The sequence below is a fragment of the Homo sapiens genome, chromosome 2 (assembly GCF_000001405.40).
Source record: "Homo sapiens chromosome 2, GRCh38.p14 Primary Assembly".
In the NCBI taxonomy this organism is placed as follows: Eukaryota; Metazoa; Chordata; class Mammalia; order Primates; family Hominidae; genus Homo; species Homo sapiens.
This window is the reverse complement of record NC_000002.12, coordinates 221,624,891-221,642,419: the sequence shown is the minus strand read 5'-3', so window position 1 is coordinate 221,642,419 and position 17,529 is coordinate 221,624,891. Positions and strand designations below refer to the sequence as shown.

Here is a 17,529-nt window from a genome sequence, read left to right as displayed (position 1 = left end):
AGTCTTGTTTTCGATAAAAAGAAATGTTGCATTCTACTCCATAATACACTCATGCTGGATTTTTTGTTTATCTGTTTGTTATTCTTGAGACAGGGTCTCACTCTGTCACCCAGGCTGGGGTGCAGTGGTGCCGTCTTGGCTCACTGCAGCCACCAACTTCCTGGGCTCAAGTGATCCTTCCACCTCAGTCTCCAGAGTAACTGGGACTACAGGTGAGAGCCACTGTGCCTGGCTAATTTTTATTTTAATTTTTGGTAGAGATGGCGTCTCATTATGTTGCCATGCTTGTCTCAAACTCCTGGGCTCAATCCATCCTCCTGCCTTGGTCTTTCAAAGTGCTGGGATTACAGGCATGAGTCACTGCGCCTGACCTACCCATGCCGTTCTCATGTAAAAGTAAATTTTAAAATCACCTACCGGCAGGGCGCGGTGGCTCACGCCTGTAATGCCAGCACTTTGGGAGGCCAAGGCGGGTGGATCACGAGGTCAAGAGATAGAGACCATCCTGGCCAACATGGTGAAACCCCATCTCTATTAAAAGTACAAAAAAATTACCCGGGCATGGTGGCGGATGCCTGTAGTCCCAGCTACTAATCACTTGAACTCGGGAGGCGGAGGTTGTAGTGAGCCGAGATTGCGCCACTGCATTCCAGCCTGGGCGACAGAGCCGGATTCCGTCAAAAAAAAAAAAAAAAAAAATCACTTACCATTGACTGGAATAGCTGCTCACTCAGTAAATACTGCACTTTCTCCTTGTGATTTCACATGCCCTTGGCACATCACATTGAGGTTAACTTCACATTACACATTTCCTGATTTGAGAAGAAAGGAAGTTCTCAGTGATAAATTCCACAATGTTAAAGGGTGAGACTTAAGTAGCTAACCACAAAACTCATTTCTCTTTTAAGCACTATTCATCCATTCAAAAGTACATCTCTGATCTTTCTGATAATGAAACTCTTCTGTATCTTGACTGTGGTGGCAGAGACTCAAACTTGTACGTTGCGTAGAACTAAACATGTGCAAACACACACATAAGTGAGTGCAAGACAAATGGGGAAAATCTGAATGAGATCAGTGGATTGTGTTAACGTCAATATCCTGGTTGGGATGATGTATGGGTTGGGTAAGGCTTTTAAGACCTTACCACTACAGGAAACGGAATAGAGATATGCTATGGTGGTATCTCCTCCAAAAGTTATTTTGAAACTTAATCCCTGATGCAACAGTATTAAGACACGTGGTCTTTGGGGGGTGAGTAAGTCATGAGGGCTCCTTCTTGTGAATATGATTAGTGCTCCTCTAACAGAGCTTGAGGTTGAAGAGAGTCTTCCATGCCCTTCCATTCCTCCCACCACGTGAGGACACAGCTTTCATCCCCCCTGGAGGATGCAGCAACTGGCACCATCTTGGAAGCAAAGACCAGGACCATTATCAGACAGTGCCTTGATCTAGGACTTCCCAGTCTCCATGACCATGAGAAATAAATTTTTACTGTTTATGACTTACTTAGTCTGTGGAATTTTGTGACATCAGCACAAATAGACTAAGACAAGGTGCATGGGATCTACCTGTACTAATACTTAGAACTGTATCACAAAATATCTCTGTATTAGTCAGAGTTCTCCAGAGAAATAGAATGAAGTACCCTCAAAGAAACACCCAAAATAAGGTTTGAAAAAAGATGTGGGCATTCTGTAGCCCAGTGAGACTGACAAATAAGATTAACCATCATAACCTCAAAATTAAGTAAATAAATACATAAGTAATGAAATACATCAAAATATCTCAGAAAAAGGTTTAGTTTTTTTGAAAGTGAAAAAAATACATCTCTAGATTGAGAGAACCCAAATCTAGGTTTACATCTGGGTTTTCTATTGTTTCATTGGTCTATGTGTCTGTTTTTATGTCAGTATCATGCTGATTTGGTTACTATTGTAGCATATTTTTTCTCACCCCAGTTAAAATGGCTTTTACAGAAAAAGCAGGCAATAACAAATGCTGATGAGGATATGGAGAAAGGGGAACCCTGGTACACTGCTCCTGGAAATCTAAGTTAGTAGAACCACTATGGAGAACAGTATGGAGGTTCTTCAAGAAACAAAAACTAGAACTACCGTATGATCCACCAGTTCCACTACTGGGTATATACACGAAAGAAAGCAAATCAATAGATTGAAAAGACACCTCCACTTCCATTTTTATTGCAGCACTGTTCACAAAAGCCAAGACATGGAATCCACCTGAGTGCCCATCAATGGACAAATGGATAAATAAAATGTGGTATATATACACAATGGAATATTATTCAACCATAAAAATGAATGAAATCCTGTCATTTGTAGGAACATGGATGGACCTGGAGATCATTATGTTAAGTGCAATAAGCCCAGCACAGAAAGACAATATCGCACGTTCTCACTCACAAGTGGGAACTAAAAAATGGATCTAATGAAGAATGAGTAGACTGGTGGTTACAAGAGGCTGGGAAGGATAGGCAGTAGAAGGGGATGAAGAGAAGTTGATTAATGGGCACAAAGATATGGTTTGGTAGAAAAAAATAAGACCTAGTGCTAGACAGATTAGCAGGGTGACTATTGTTGATAATAATGTATATTTCAAAATAGCTAGAATAGAAAAATTTTGATGGTTATTGCAGAAAGAAAAGACAAATATTTAAGGTGATAGATATCCTAAGAACTGCAATATCCCAAGAAATTATCTGATCTTTACAAATTATATGAATGTATTAAATTATCTCATGCACCTCCAAAACTATGTACATTTATTATAGTCTGCATCAATAAAAATTAATTAATTAAATTAAAAACATTTTTTTAAAAAGATAAACCAAATCTAGACTGCTTTAGATATTGAGATCCTGGGCTTCGAATTTGATACCATGATTAGATAAGACTTTGGAGATCTTAGGATGGGGGTAAGTTTATTTTTCATGTAGAAGGGAGTTGAATAATTGTTCCTAAGAGTGTGGACAGTAGTATATTAAATAATTGTCCCTAGCTCTTCACTATTCTCTGCAATCACATCCTTTGCCATGTGACCTAGTAGCTCTTTCCGCTACTGTCAAATGTTTCCTCTTGCCCCTTGTCTTTAGCCTCTACCATAGGGCTTACTTTGGCCAATGGGATATTAGCAAATATAATACAGAGGCCTGAAATATGTTTACAACAATCACCTGAATGCTGGCCATGGCCTGGAGCCAACCCCAGCTTTGGAGCCTTAATCAGCTGACTCTGCTGACTACAGAAACATGAGCAAGAATAAATGATTGTTAAGCTATTGAATTTGGGGCCAGCTTGTTTCATAGAAAGATCTTCCCAACCTAAAATATTATTATTTTATTTCATAAAAACTTGAGTACCTACTCCATACCTGGAACTGTGTTATCTGCTGGAGGTATGATCATAAATAAAATGGACATGCCATGTGATCTAACAGAGCTTACAGTCACGAGTCTGTCATTCATGTTAAAAAGAGAAAGGATTCTTTTATACAGCCAGTCATTACACCACCCCCCAACATCTACTGATTTTAAATTTTAAATTCTTAAAAAATATTCCTGGTCACATGAATGTTTAATTCTGTGCAATATTTCAAGAACAAAGCTATGGTGTAGCAACTAGACAATGAGTTGAGTTTTTGCTTTTTGTTTGTTGTGTGTGTTTATTTCAAGGCAGAACAGTATAAATAGAAAATATGGTGGCCGAGTATTGCAAATAGCACAGTGGCTTTTTAAGCAAATGAACACGTGCGTGTGTGTGTCTTTTTCTGGGTACACACGTATGCATATAGGAAATATCACTAAACGGCATCATGGACTCAGTTACCCAACTGAGAAAAATATGAGTTATCTTTGACTCATCTTTTATGAAATTTTCCTATATATATCTTGAATATCTATATCTATATCTATATATATCTCCTTCTCTGTCATACTGTCATCCTACCCAAGTCATCACCATTTCCTCCCTGCAATATGAGGCAATAGGATCTTAACAGATCTCTGGGTCTTCTCTAGGTCTTCTCTTTCTCTCTCTGTTCATTCTACATCACAAAGATTTATCCAAAATATAAAACTGACCCTTAATTCTTCGTGCATGATGCCCTTTGATGTCTTCCTATTTCTGTAAAATAAAAGTCCAATCTTCTTAGTACACAAAGCAAGACCTTCCATTATCTCACCCTTGCTACCTCATCTCCTACTAAACTCTGCTTCAAACCCATGCACCAGTAAGTAGTCACTTCATCAGGGCAGGGATTAGAGCAAAGCAAGCAAGGTGTGCAGGGTGCAAAATTTAAAGCGGTATTCACTCTTTAGTTTATACAGAGCACACCTGAGAATGTGTGCCTCCTTAAATTGCATTCCTTATGCACCCGGCTTCTCTCACTCTGGTTTTCATGCTTCATGCTCTTTTATGTCTTCCACTAGTTTGCTCATACTGTTGCCCTTGCTTTTTTACTCCCTTTTCCTGCTAATTCTAATTCACATAGTGTAGATTTGGCTTAACTGTGTATTTCCTAGGAAGCAATTCCTGACCCCCAGGCTGATATAAGTTCACTCACATGTTTCGTGCTTCAGTAGGAGCTCTGGGCTTATTTCTACCTTAGTATTCATCATATTAGGTGGAAACTGCTTATCTCCTTGACCATAACATTTATTAAAATGTGGTCTTTTGTTTTTCATCTTTGTAGTATAAAAAGCTAGGCCAGGCATCCTTTAAGCCCTCTCTCTCTAGTCTCCCATATCTAACTCTTCACTCATGTGGCTGTTACCCTCTAAATGCTTGTCAAAGCCACCCACCTCTTTCCATGTCCACTCAAGCCACCGAGGCTCATGATCTCCTACCTGCAATATTACAATAGCCTCTTACCAGGCCTTCCAAATTCTATTCCCCCACCCAACCCACCATCTCCATTTGTCTACTTCATTGTAGCCATGGTAATCTTCGCAAAGTGTAACTATTATTATGTCACCACCAACCCATAACCACTTCTTATTGTACTTGGGACAAGAAATCAAACTTTAAAGATGGTCTAAAGCCCCTCTTAAAGGTCTGACTGTGTCGGACCTCTAGAGCTAATCTCACTAGATGTGAGCCATTGTTTATATTCTAGCCATCCTTTCATTTCATTCTAGAAGACCCCATGCAAGTTCCCCACCTAAGGGTCTGGACACAGGTAGGTCCCACTGCTTAGAATGCTTCAGGCCCTCCATCATTTCACTGGATTAACATCTCTTGCTCTTCATGTCAGTCCAAAAGCTGCTAGGTGCAGCCTCCATGATATCTCAATCCAGGTCAAGTCTCCTGCTATTCGTTTTCCTAGTTCTACATTCCTATGAGTGTCTTCCTTCAAAATACTCATCTCAGTTCCTCAGTTCATAGTGTTTCACGTTTCTGGGCAATTATTTTTATTCAACAGTATCTAGTTGTTGGGTGTTCACAAAATAATTTATTACAGAAATTTCCAAACATGCACAAAGTACAGAGACTATAACAAAGTCCCATTTCTTCTTGTTTTAATAATCCACAACATATGGGTATTTTATCTTTGTATCTTTATACTACCTCACTTCCTCCCAATATTATATTTTACCCTTAAATACTTTAGTCTGTATCTCTAAACAATAAGGACTATTTCTTTAAAAAAAAATTCCCAAAATATTTTCACATGATCACACTTCCAAAAACTAATGAGTATTTTAAAATTATTGAATGTCTTGTCAGTGTTCAAATACTGTGTGAGATTTTAAGTCCGACTTCCCACCACACTGAGAACAGGGACAATCAGCCTGACACAGTGCATGCCACATAGTTGATAATAAATATAGCTGAATAAGTGACTGACTAAATGAACAGTTGTTTAATAAATATGAGCTGAACTGGACACAGGAATACAAGTATACCTGGGGAAAACATTGCAGAGAAAACCAGTTAAATAAGCTGCCACTCCTTTCTTCACCCCACATGAGCCGTACCTTCTCTTCAGGTGGCATTCTTGGCCCTTGGAGCAAGGTGGTGCATTGGGACAAACTCAGAGCCAAGGAGAGGTGTCAAAGCTTTGTCTTTCCAACCCCACTATGGCTTGGTACAACCTGCTCTTACACTAAGTGAGACAAAGGGATGACAGTGTGCTTTTTGTCTCTAGGAGGCTTTACTTTCTTTCTACCCATCATCCTCTCTTTTCCATTCCCAGAGAGTACTGGGCACAAACAGGTATAATAGCTCCCACCAGTCAAAAGTGGCTGAACTTGGCATTGCAGGATTGGTGTTTGCCAAGAGGCTCTGAGTCCCTGTACAAACACTTGAACTAGGTCTGGGTCTGTTATTAAGTAACCCAAGGTTGATCTGATTTCCCCACAGAAAAGAACATTTATAATCAAATCTCATCAAGAGGGGGGAGGAAAAGCTTTGTTTCCACTTGCTTGTATTTTTACCTTCTTAAATATGTAGTTTATATAACTTATATAATTTTTCATTATAAAAAGCAACTTTTCCCTAGTTATGATTTTTTTACTCACTCATCAGCAATTTTCCATGTTATTACAAATCCTGGGTATACATTATCTTTTACTCCTTAATGTTCCATTAAATGGCATTTCCAAACTTTCTTTAGTGACTATTGCCTCCAATTCTGAATTATCATAAGTGATGCTTTGATTAATATCTCTGTACATAAAGCTTTTTCTGTATCAAAGATAATTTTTAGGGTAGATTCCCAGAAGTACAACGACCAGGTCAAATAATACGAATAATGTGGCTGGGTGTGGTGGCTCGTGCCTGTTGTACCAGCACTTTGGGAGGCCGAGGTAGGCGGATCACGAGGTCAGGAGTTCGAGACCAGCCTGGCCAATATGGTGAAACCCCGTCTCTACTAAAAATACAAAAAAAAAAAAAAAAAGAACCAAACAAACAAAAACACAATTAGCCGGGCGTGGTGGCAGGTGCCTGTAATCCCAGCTACTCGAGAGGCTGAGGCAGGAGAATTGCTTGAGCCCAGGAAGCGGAGGTTGCAGTGAGCTGAGATCGCACCATTGCACTCTGACCTGGGCAACAGAGCAAGACTCCCTCTTGGGAAAAAAAAAAAAAAGAATTTGAATAATGTGAAAATTTCTAGTATATACACACTACCCCATTGCTTAGAAAGCATTGTTGTTCATCTATAAAATTAATTTGCCTTTAAATTAAATTTAACTTTAAAGTACCATTTATTATTCTTCTATTGCATAAATAGTACATATTCATTACAGAAAAATTAAACAATACAGATAAGTAACAAGAATGGAATAAAAAGCATGTGAAATTCCACCACTCAGAGTTATACATACATATATATCAAGTTCTATAAGGTCTCAAAGAAGAAACATCACAGACTACTATCGATAATGAGGATTTATATCAGGAGTGCATAGGAACATGGAAAAATAAGGGAAGCTGTTCTATTAGCTGTATAGTCACTCCAGAACCAAACGCTTCAAAGACAGGGATTTCATTAGGCCAAATGCAGAAGCAGATTGAAATCCTCTCTTTGTACATCTAACCCTAGTTCATCGTGTGTTTTTAGCATTTTTACTTCCCTAAGAAGAGATTGGGTTGGGTTTGTTTGCTATCTTCTACAATATAGAACCTACATGGAACATTCCATATCACTTTTGGGTAGAGTTATCACAAGCCACCTCCAAGGCTGTTGTCCTTCTTTATACTCAGCCATTATATATTTACCTCGTGCCCCTGTTCAAACACCTTCAATCCTCTGTTTTCATTCCTACCAGGCAATTTACAAAGCAAAGATATACTTCAAGCTACTTCAAGACTCTTGAAGTATAAGATCTAAGGAGGATCTATATTTTCAGAATGTCATTCACATTGTGCTATATGATCTATTCAGTATAACATTGTTTTATAATCCACTTTATTCCCTTAATACTGAATCTTCAACACTAACTCTTAACATTCTGCCTTGTGAATGTGCCATAAAATAGCCAGTCTCCTGTAGCTGGATACGAGGTTGCTTTTGATTTAGGGCTATAGATTCTTTTAAATGATGAAGAGAAACTTCACAGACAAATTCTTTTCGGTTTCTTTCTACCCTAACATGTATTTGCCCACCTGTTTTATTTATTTGTTTTTATTTTATTTTATTTGAGACAGAGTCTCACTCTGTCTCCCAGGCTGGAGTGCAGTGGTGCAATCTCAGTTCACTGCAACCTCCGCCTCCCCGGTTCAAGCGATTCTTGTGCCTCAACCTCTCGAGTAGCTGGGATTACAGGCATGCGCCACCACACCCGGCTAATTTTTGTATTTTTAGTAGAGATGAGATTTCACCAGGTTGGCCAGGCTGGTCTTGAACTCCTGGCCCCAAGTTATCCACCCGCCTCCGCCTCCCAAAGTGCTGGGGTTACGGGTGTGAGCCACCTGGCCTATTTTATTTTAACTCTTATAATTAATTTATTTTATTTTAGATGTGTTATCTTAAACCAACCTGAAATCTTTGGTTTTTTTTTAATAGAAAAACTTTATGTATTCACATTAATTTTGATAACCAAATATTCATTGTCAATTTCCCGCCTGCTTTTTTGCTGTTTTCCCTGCTTCCTTGGTTATTATTTTCCCCTTACGCTTATTTGTTTTATCGATCAAGTTTTATTTTGAAGTAATACAATCTCTGATTTGGAAATAATACATTCCAATTTTTTGCTAGTTACCTTTAAAGTAAAAGAAAAAAAAATCTACATTTTTCTAACAAATAAAAGGTAGCATCTTTTGGTGCCCTTCATATGGGCTAATAAATTTAAACAAAAAATTAGTTCTGCTACCCCTGAAACTACCATATTTTATAGAAATAAACTGTTTAAATACAGATCATTATGGATAGACATGCTCTATTCTTCCTTGCTAAAGAATTCCAAGAAAATGCAAAATTGCAAGAATTTTAACATTTCATTGTTTTATAACCACATTTCCAAACGCTATTTATATACAGTTATGATTTACTGATTTTATTTACATCATTTTAGATATCTTCCTTATTTTTAGTGTATTCTTTTTATTGACTTAGTTTTAGTAGCTAAGTCAATTAAGTAGTAATTATCATATAATTTAATTAGAAAAGTATGCAGGTGCTATATTTTCTGAGTGACTCCTTGTTTCAGAATAAAAGAATTTCTTAATTTGATCTTCAAATACCTGAATTGGTTTTCTGCACTACCCAATTGGCTATTCACTATCTCCACTTCATTTTAAAATTCAATAATCATACTTTTACGGAAACCCAGGCTTCTCTGATTTCACTTCTTTCCCCCTTTATTACTCATTATCCTAAAAATTATATTGATAATATACATTTAGTAATTTATAAATACAGTCTTTTGTGTTTTTACAGATTATTTTCATACAAAAGTGAACCATCTTACTTCTCAGATTGGTCTTTTTATTTGGACTTTCAGTCTTTTCAGATGACTCTTGATTTGTTTCTATATTCTTAATTTATGGATGGAAGAGTGTGTATGAGTATGTACATGTGAGTGTGTGGGGGGAGGGTATCTATATATACAGTTCTAGGAGTTTAGATTATTGCTTTCATTGATTTTGTAAGACTATAAAAACCCTGTTTATGCTCAGTTAAGAAGAAAAGGAAACTGCATTTGTATTATGTGCTGTCGTTTGGTTTTGCATTTTTTGTTTACTTGTTTGTTTTTGTATACAATTACTTCCACATATCAGAGTTCAAGTTGTATGTGGGGATTAAATTGCACTAAAGATATAGATAGACATCCTAAGACTTGTACAAAAAAAAAGGTTTTTTTTTTTTTTGCATTGTGAAGTCAACTGGGGCTCTCTTTTGAATATTTTATTACATTCTCTCTTATTATGTTTTATTTATACATTACCTTTATTGTTATGGATTCAAGTCTATAATTTTTTTTTTTTTTTTGAGACGGAGTCTCGCTCTGTCGCCCAGGCTGGAGTGCAGTGGCACGGTCTCTGCTCACTGCAAGCTCCGCCTCCCGGGTTCATGCCATTCTCCTGCCTCAGCCTCTCAAGTAGCTAGGACTACAGGTGCCCACCACCACGCCCGGCTAATTTTTGTATTTTTAGTAGAGACGGGGTTTCACCGTGTTAGCCAGGATGGTCTCGGTCTCTTGACCTTGAGATCTGCCCACCTCGGCCTCCCAAAGTGCTGGGATTACAGGTGTGAGCCACCGCACCTGGCCGACAAGTCTATCAATTTTTTTAATGAAAAAATAATAAATTTCTTGTCTGGCTAAGTAAGGGCCCCCTCTACCTCAAAGTGTAACAAATACTTGCCTGTATATTCCTCTGTTACTTTAAATTTACGTGGATATTCAATCTTTCTGCAAGTTATTGTTGTATATATTATGATATAGTAGTTTTTTATTAGTTTCTCTCAGAGAGCTAGTCAGTCGTTCTGATGTTATAATGAATAATCTATCAATTTTCCATCGGCTTCCAGTGCCACCCCTATCATGTAGGTCTCCATATAAACTTGACTTTATTTCTGTATGTAGATTTCTATGATATCTAATGATATCCAGCCTTCAGCGTTATATTTTGCTAATCTTCTGCCAGCATAAAACTCTTCTAATTATAGTTGCTTTTAATCCAGGGCTTTCTCTAACTTTTTTCTTAAAGCATAGCTATTCTTTTACAAAAATTTGCTTTTAACAAATGTATTAACACACATTTTTCCACATATTATAGCACATATTATAATTTATCACTAACCATTTAAATGTCACTCTACATTTTGTAAGTCATTATTCACCATTGTTTCTTATATTGTCTTTCTCTATCTTGAGTTCTTGATCTGACTTCATTTTTGTTAGTCTGAAGTAATTCCTTAGGGCTTACGAGTGTTTTTGGTGATGTATTTTCTGAACTTCTACATATCTGAACATGTGCTCCTTTTCTCCCACAGGTGAAAGATACCTTCATTGGTTATAGAAATTTGGGATTTACAAGTATGTGCATATTGTTCCACTGTCTTCTTAGCTTTCAGGTTTTCAAAAAGAAAAGAAAACTTAGACTTTTCTGATGTTCTTTTTTACGTAAATAACCATTTTATTGTTGTTTTGCTTTTTCTGCCTTCAAACTACTCCCACAGGCCAAATATAGCTGGCTGCTTCTTTCTGTAAATAAAGTTTTATTGGGCCACAGCCATGGCCATCTTTTACATATTGTGTGACTGCTTCCACCTGCTACCCTGCAGCGTTCTATAGTCACAACAGGGACTGTATGGCCTGCAACATTTACTACCTGGTCCTTTACAGAAAAAGTTTTCGGACCCTGTTCCTAACCTAGCCCACAAGAACAAGGCTCCAGCGAGAGCACTTCAAACCTGGAAGTAGAGCAGAGGAGAAGACACTTGGAGCTTGGTAACCTTTGGATGGTGCTCCTAATACCATGCCATGAATGTGCCTCCAACAAATATGGGAGACCAACTTCGTAAACACTGCTTTAAAACAATGAACATGCCAAACATCTGATACCCTGATAGGTCTGCTATCAATTCTAATTCCAAACAACCTGCTGGTGCCAATTTTGTTTTCTCTAAGGAAGGTAGGAGCCAAGAAGGGAGAAGAGGAAGACCTTTTGGAATGGCTTTGTAAGTTCTGTGGCAGATCCAGATGTCATGTTATTGAAGCTATATATTGCCTGAAAGCAACACTTCTTTTAGGGCAGAACAATCTTGCCAGTGGAAGAGGTTTAATTTATAAGCAGTCTGATTTAATTTTCTCTGTTTGGACAGACTGTAATTTGGTGCTAGAAGGAAACCCTTAGAATAGCTTTGTTGTCTTAGCTGACAATTACACAACTTAAGTTGCTCTACCTCTGAACTTCATTACTCACACATACATGGCAGATTTATATTCTATTTCTCTTTAGCTGCTATTTCAAATCAGCGCTTAGGTGATAACAACTTAGGAAGACAAAGTAGCTCGTCTAATTCTACTTATGCCAAATTACGTTCGGTACAAGAGAGCAGAACATTTTAAATCACAGAATAAAAAAAAACTCAACTTCTTTTAGAGCTCCTAATTGGAAAAGGTAACATATCCAGCAATACCCTAGGACTCTGGAAGATCTAATTCATCTCTTCAGAAGGAACAATTATTCTCAAAGGCCAGCATTCTTAGCTCATACCACACAGGACCAGACACAGAGAGGAGCTGAGCTTTTTAGAATAGTGCATTTAATTGAAACTTGCTTTCTGTTCCATCTAGAAGAATTTAACTTGCAAAAAACCACTGGGCAAGCAATATGACTTTCAAGACCATTCTGTGGTTCACCGTTTTTATATAAGTCTAGAAATAGTCCAACAATCTTAGCAGGAGAAAAAATTAAGCCCATCTGTTTTGGAGACTTGAAAAAGCTTCCTTTACCCTCAAAACACTCCGAGCTTTACATAGAGTTCCAAAAAAACAGGTTCATTTGGTCTCAGATCTTTGTTTTATTTAACAAACACTAGCACAGTGCTTACTAGATGCCAGGCACTGCTCTGAGCACTTGACAAACATTAACATATTTAATTTTCACAATAGTTCTATGTGGGCAGGTGTTATTACTAAAATCCATTTTACAGATGAGAAAACCAAGACACAGAGGGTTAAGTAATTTGCCCAAGATCAGAGAAATAGGAAAAGTCAGAATGGGGATTTGCATTCCAGAGGCCTGAATCAGGGCTCAAACTCTTAACCACTAAGCTTTTCTGCCCGTGTGTCATCTCCACCAGCATGCCTTGCGACGAAAGGGAAATACTGAAGTCTCATGGCCCCCATGAAGCAACCTTGGCTCGCCCTGAGATAGCACCATGAGCTCTTCTAACATGAAACTGCTATAGCATTTATCCAGTCCCCATGACTTGTACTGAGGATTCTCGCATTGTTAAACAGCATTTCAGATGTATGCTATAAATCTACTTACTCTCTAAATTTTGTGGGGAGGGCACAAGCTCAGCACTGTGGTAGGTACCTAGGTACTGACTTCTACATTGATCCTTATCGTTCTTGGAGCTCGACTCTGAATATTTTATTTACTAAAAATAAAGGTGTCTTCTTGAGATGTGTTTTGCCTGGGGCAATTTGCTGGTGCAGCATCACAGGCATCCCCTGGAAAGGTGAACAGACCACAGGCCAAGGTATTTTGAGGGCTTTGGGACCTCTAACTTTAGGACGCCCTGCTATATTTAAGTGGGCATTTGTGGTTCTGATTATCTATTGATGAACCGTATTCCACAGTTTATAATTTATTTTCCCTTAGCATGAAGTAGAGTCCCATGTGTTCCAAGGCTGATATATGAGTGAAAGTCAGTTAACTAGAGAAAGACGTGCTCATCAGCCAACTTTCCTCTTGACGCAGCTTCATTGGTCTCTTTATTCAACATCCGGTCTCATGTAACACCCCCAGCACCATATGATACAAACATTATTATGTCCACTTCCCAGATGAGAAAACTAAGAAAACTAACTGTGTAGTGGTTATTTGCAAATGCTACTTCGGGGAATTGTGAAGGTCTCAGGATATAACCCTGGAGACTATCAAGGTTTTACGATAGTTGACAACTTATAGATTGATTTTATGATAGATCATGAATGTTCAAATACATTTATAGCAGTGGAATTTCTCTACAATTAAATGTTAGAGAAAGCCCCAAAACATAAAGCAAATTAAGGCTCCTTGATCTGGCCTCTATAAAACTTACAGTGCAGTCAGAAATCCACTTCCATAGGTCAGGAAGGGCTACCTGTTTTCAATGTTGTCAGGCAGGGGCCAGGCAGTAGCTGGAGGTGGGCATGTGCTTCATATTTCATGGCTTCATGAGCATGTACCCTTTATTTTCATTGAATATTTTCATACGCAAAGATGCCAAAAGCAGAATTTGTTGAATTTGCTTAGAATGCAACTTAGATTGCCACTTAGGGATTTTATTTTATTTTATTTTTATTTTTATTTTTTGAAACAGAGTCACCCTCCAGTCACCAGGCTGGAGTGCAGTGGTGCCATCTCAGCTCACTGCAACCTCTGCCTCCGGGGTTCAAGTGATTCTCGTGCCTCAGCCTCCCGAATAGCTGGGATTACAGGCGCATGCCACCACACCCAGCTAAATTTTTTTATATTTTTAGTAGATACAGGGTTTTGCCATGTTGGCCAGGCTGGCCCCGAACTCCTGGTCCAAGTGATCTGCCCACCTCGGCCTCTGAAAGAGCTGGGATTACAGGCATGAGCCCCTGTGCCCGGCCTACCACTTAGGCATTTATTTTATTCCTACTCAAATTAGATATTTTTTATAACACAGACATAACTCGTGCTCTCTCATTTCATTGGAAATAAATTTCAAATGTAATTCATTGTAACCCAAGGGACATAGACTCAAGATGGCTCTGTAATTTTATGATCTGTAATACTCCCCAACCCCCTGCTCCAAACACTTTTGAAAAGACTGATGAAAAGCAGACAGAGGGCTGGAGAAACAGAATAGAGCTGAAACCTCTGGTCTGCTGTACTCTGTTGCTGAAAACCAATAGTGATGGCTGAGAGTCCAATTTCTGAAGGATAATGGGAACTAAAATTACAAAATTTCAAAATGGAGTGCCTGAAGATGAGAGCTAAGTAAAGCTTGCTTGCTTGTAAAGAAAGAATGAGGGAAAAGGCTGCCCAACTGAATTGTGGAATTGGGGCTTTCTGAGAAGCTATGCCCTGACGTTCTTATGACCAGGAATCAAGCAGGTCACTGCCCTAGATCTGTGATATTCTCGATATTGCTGCAGAACAGGTATTCTAAAGTTGCATTTTAGGACCTGGTTCTAAATTGGAAGCAAAAGGCCTTGGTGGGGGAAACTCAAAATTCCAAAGCTGCTAGAGACAAAGAAAGAGAAAAACAAAACCTGATCAGAAACGTCTCTCAAAATGAATGTGCAAAGCAAACTTTCAAACAAGAAAAAAACTAAAGCTAAGAAAAGCAGACAATAAAATTAACATAAGTCTCCTATTCTGTTCTGAGTTTCTCAGTCTATACCTTTAATAATACCACACTCACTTATATTATATGCTTTGCCATATATGTTTTACCACATAGAACAAGCTCTCACTCCCTTACTAATTTTCTTCAGAATTGTCTTATTTTCGGCCTTTGGTGATTTCATGATAAACCTAAGATAAGCCTGCCACGTTCTATTAAAAATCTAAGATGAGGTTGCCATATCTGTTAAAAATGTTGGAATATGTATTAGAATTGAATGGAATTTACAAAGAATGTATATTATTGTCATACACATCCAAAGACATGTATGGTTCTACATATCCATGAACACAGACCATCTGTGAGGTTATACGGGTCTTCCTGTAAATGTTTTATAATTTTCTCTACAAAGGTCTTATACATCTTTGTGTTTTGTGGTTTGTAGCTTGTAGTTTTTGTTACCATTGTGAATGAGACATTTAAAATAACATTTTAAATTAATTATAACTGTGGTGTACTTTACCTTAAATGAATGGCAATTATATTGGCAAAGGACTTCTCATGAGCCATAATAGAGGCCAGGAGACAATGAATTCATACTTGTAGAGTGCTGACGTTAAAAAAATGACCAACTTAGAATTTAATATCCTGCTAGACTGTAATTCAAGGGAGAAAGAGAAAGAAAAATAGAGAGAAAAGGAGTAAGAATTTTTAATATACAAAGGCTAAGAGAGTTTACCACCTATAGATTACTAAGTTAATTCTTCGAGGAAAAAAATAAAGCCAGTGCAAGATGTAGGAAGCAAAAACCAATAGGAGATTTGTAGATTGGGGTTTTGTTCCTTGTTCTTCAGTTTTACTACCATGTTTGTAGATGTGGCTTTATCTTTATTTTTCCTACTTAAATATTCAAAGTATACTTTTGTGCTGAGATTTGTTTCTTTTTAAAATTCTGGAAAATTCTTATTTCTTATATTTGTACATTTTCTTCTTTCCGAACTTTTATTAGAGGCATACTAGAAATTTTTAATTTAAAATGTCTTTATTCTGAACTTTTAGTGGACGTCATTTTTTCTGTCTTTGAGTATCTTAAATATACTTTAAAGTCTTTATCAGATAGTTCCTTAAAATTAATTTTATTTGGACTGAATCACAGATAAAGACAAATGACCAGATAGTGAAATGGGCAAAGGTTACATGCAAGGAATCACAGAAGAAATCTAAAAGCCAAATAAACATAAAAATGTTCACTCCCACTAGGGAACAAGAACAAACATTTGTACAGTATTTACTATATGCCAGGTACCACTCTAGCACTCTATTTCATCTGAACTCATAAATTATTTTGAGAAAAAAAACAAAAACAAAAAAAAAACAACTAGTTTACGGGAAATGGAACAGAGGAATGGAGAGATTAAGTAACTTGCCCCGGGTCAAATATCAAATAGCAGAGCTGGGATTTGAATGGCTAGCCTAGAGCTGTGCTATCTAATATGGTAGCCATGAGCTGCATGTGACTATTTAAGTTTACATTTACATTAATTACAATTAAATTAAATAGAAACATTTAGTTCCTCAGTCACATTGGTACATTGGTCGCTGTTCAAGTGTTCAATAGCCATGTCTGGCTTGTGCTTTACCATAGTGGAAAGCACAGATAGAGACCATTTCCATTATGTAGGCAGTTCTGCGTGGCAATGCTGCCCTCAAAGCCTCTGCTCTTGTCGGCAATGCCACAGTCTTATCAAGGTGCTGTTCTTAGATGAACTTTTGTTTTCCCTTGCACTTTTAAAACTCCACTGAAAATTCAAGGTTCTGAGAGAGAATCCTATTGGCTTAGTTAGACAAATACAATTAAGAAAATTTAAATTGAATAAGTAATAAAATTTTTTTTATTTGTCAAGTTAGTAAAAATAAAGAAGTATGGCATTTTAAGTTATAGTAGGAATGTGGGGAAATAGAAATATTCACAAGCTGCTCTAGAAATGTAAATTAGTACAGCCACTTTGAAGAGAAATTTGGCAAAATCTTGTTAAATTGAAAATGTGGCCACGCATGGTGGCTCACGCCTGTAATCCCAATACTTTGGGAGGCTGAGGCAGGAGGATCACCTGAGGTAAGGAGTTCAAGACCAGCCTGGCCAACATGGTTAAACCCCATCTCTTCTAAAAATACAAAAATTAGCTGGGCATGATGGTGCGTGCCTGTAATCCCAGCTACTTGGGGGGCTGAGGCAGAAGAATCGTTTCAACCCAGGTGGCAGAGGTTGCAGTGAGCTGAGATCACAGCACTGCACTCCAGCCTGGGCAACAGAACAAGACTGTGTCTCCAATAATAGCAAAAAAATGCAGTATCCTCCAACCCAGCACCTTTTTTTTTTTTTTTTAAACAGCAGTAGCACTCTACGTTTTCTTACGCAATGACTTGTTGCTTGGGCCTAATGTTCTCACATAACAGTAGAAAACCAAAATTTGTTGTCACCTCTTAAAGAATCAAGAATTGCATACCAAAAAAAAAAACCTTACATAA

General features: G+C 37.8%; 1 long non-coding RNA gene across 3 annotated transcripts in view; it reads right to left on the bottom strand.

The window, feature by feature from the left end:
* The window catches only part of LOC105373899 (uncharacterized), a 101,158-nt gene extending 96,267 nt beyond the window's left edge, over nt 1–4,891 (bottom strand). For 2 of the 3 annotated variants that reach the window (XR_923942.1, XR_001739235.1), the window contains exons 1-2: nt 4,823–4,891; nt 708–812 (exon numbers count right to left, since the gene is read on the bottom strand). This is a non-coding gene — a long non-coding RNA (uncharacterized LOC105373899). Of the gene's footprint in view, nt 1–707; nt 813–4,102; nt 4,146–4,822 lie in introns of all 3 variants that reach the window. The other variant, XR_001739234.1, reaches the window with a different exon arrangement.
* Nucleotides 4,892–17,529: the final 12,638 nt, after the last annotated feature.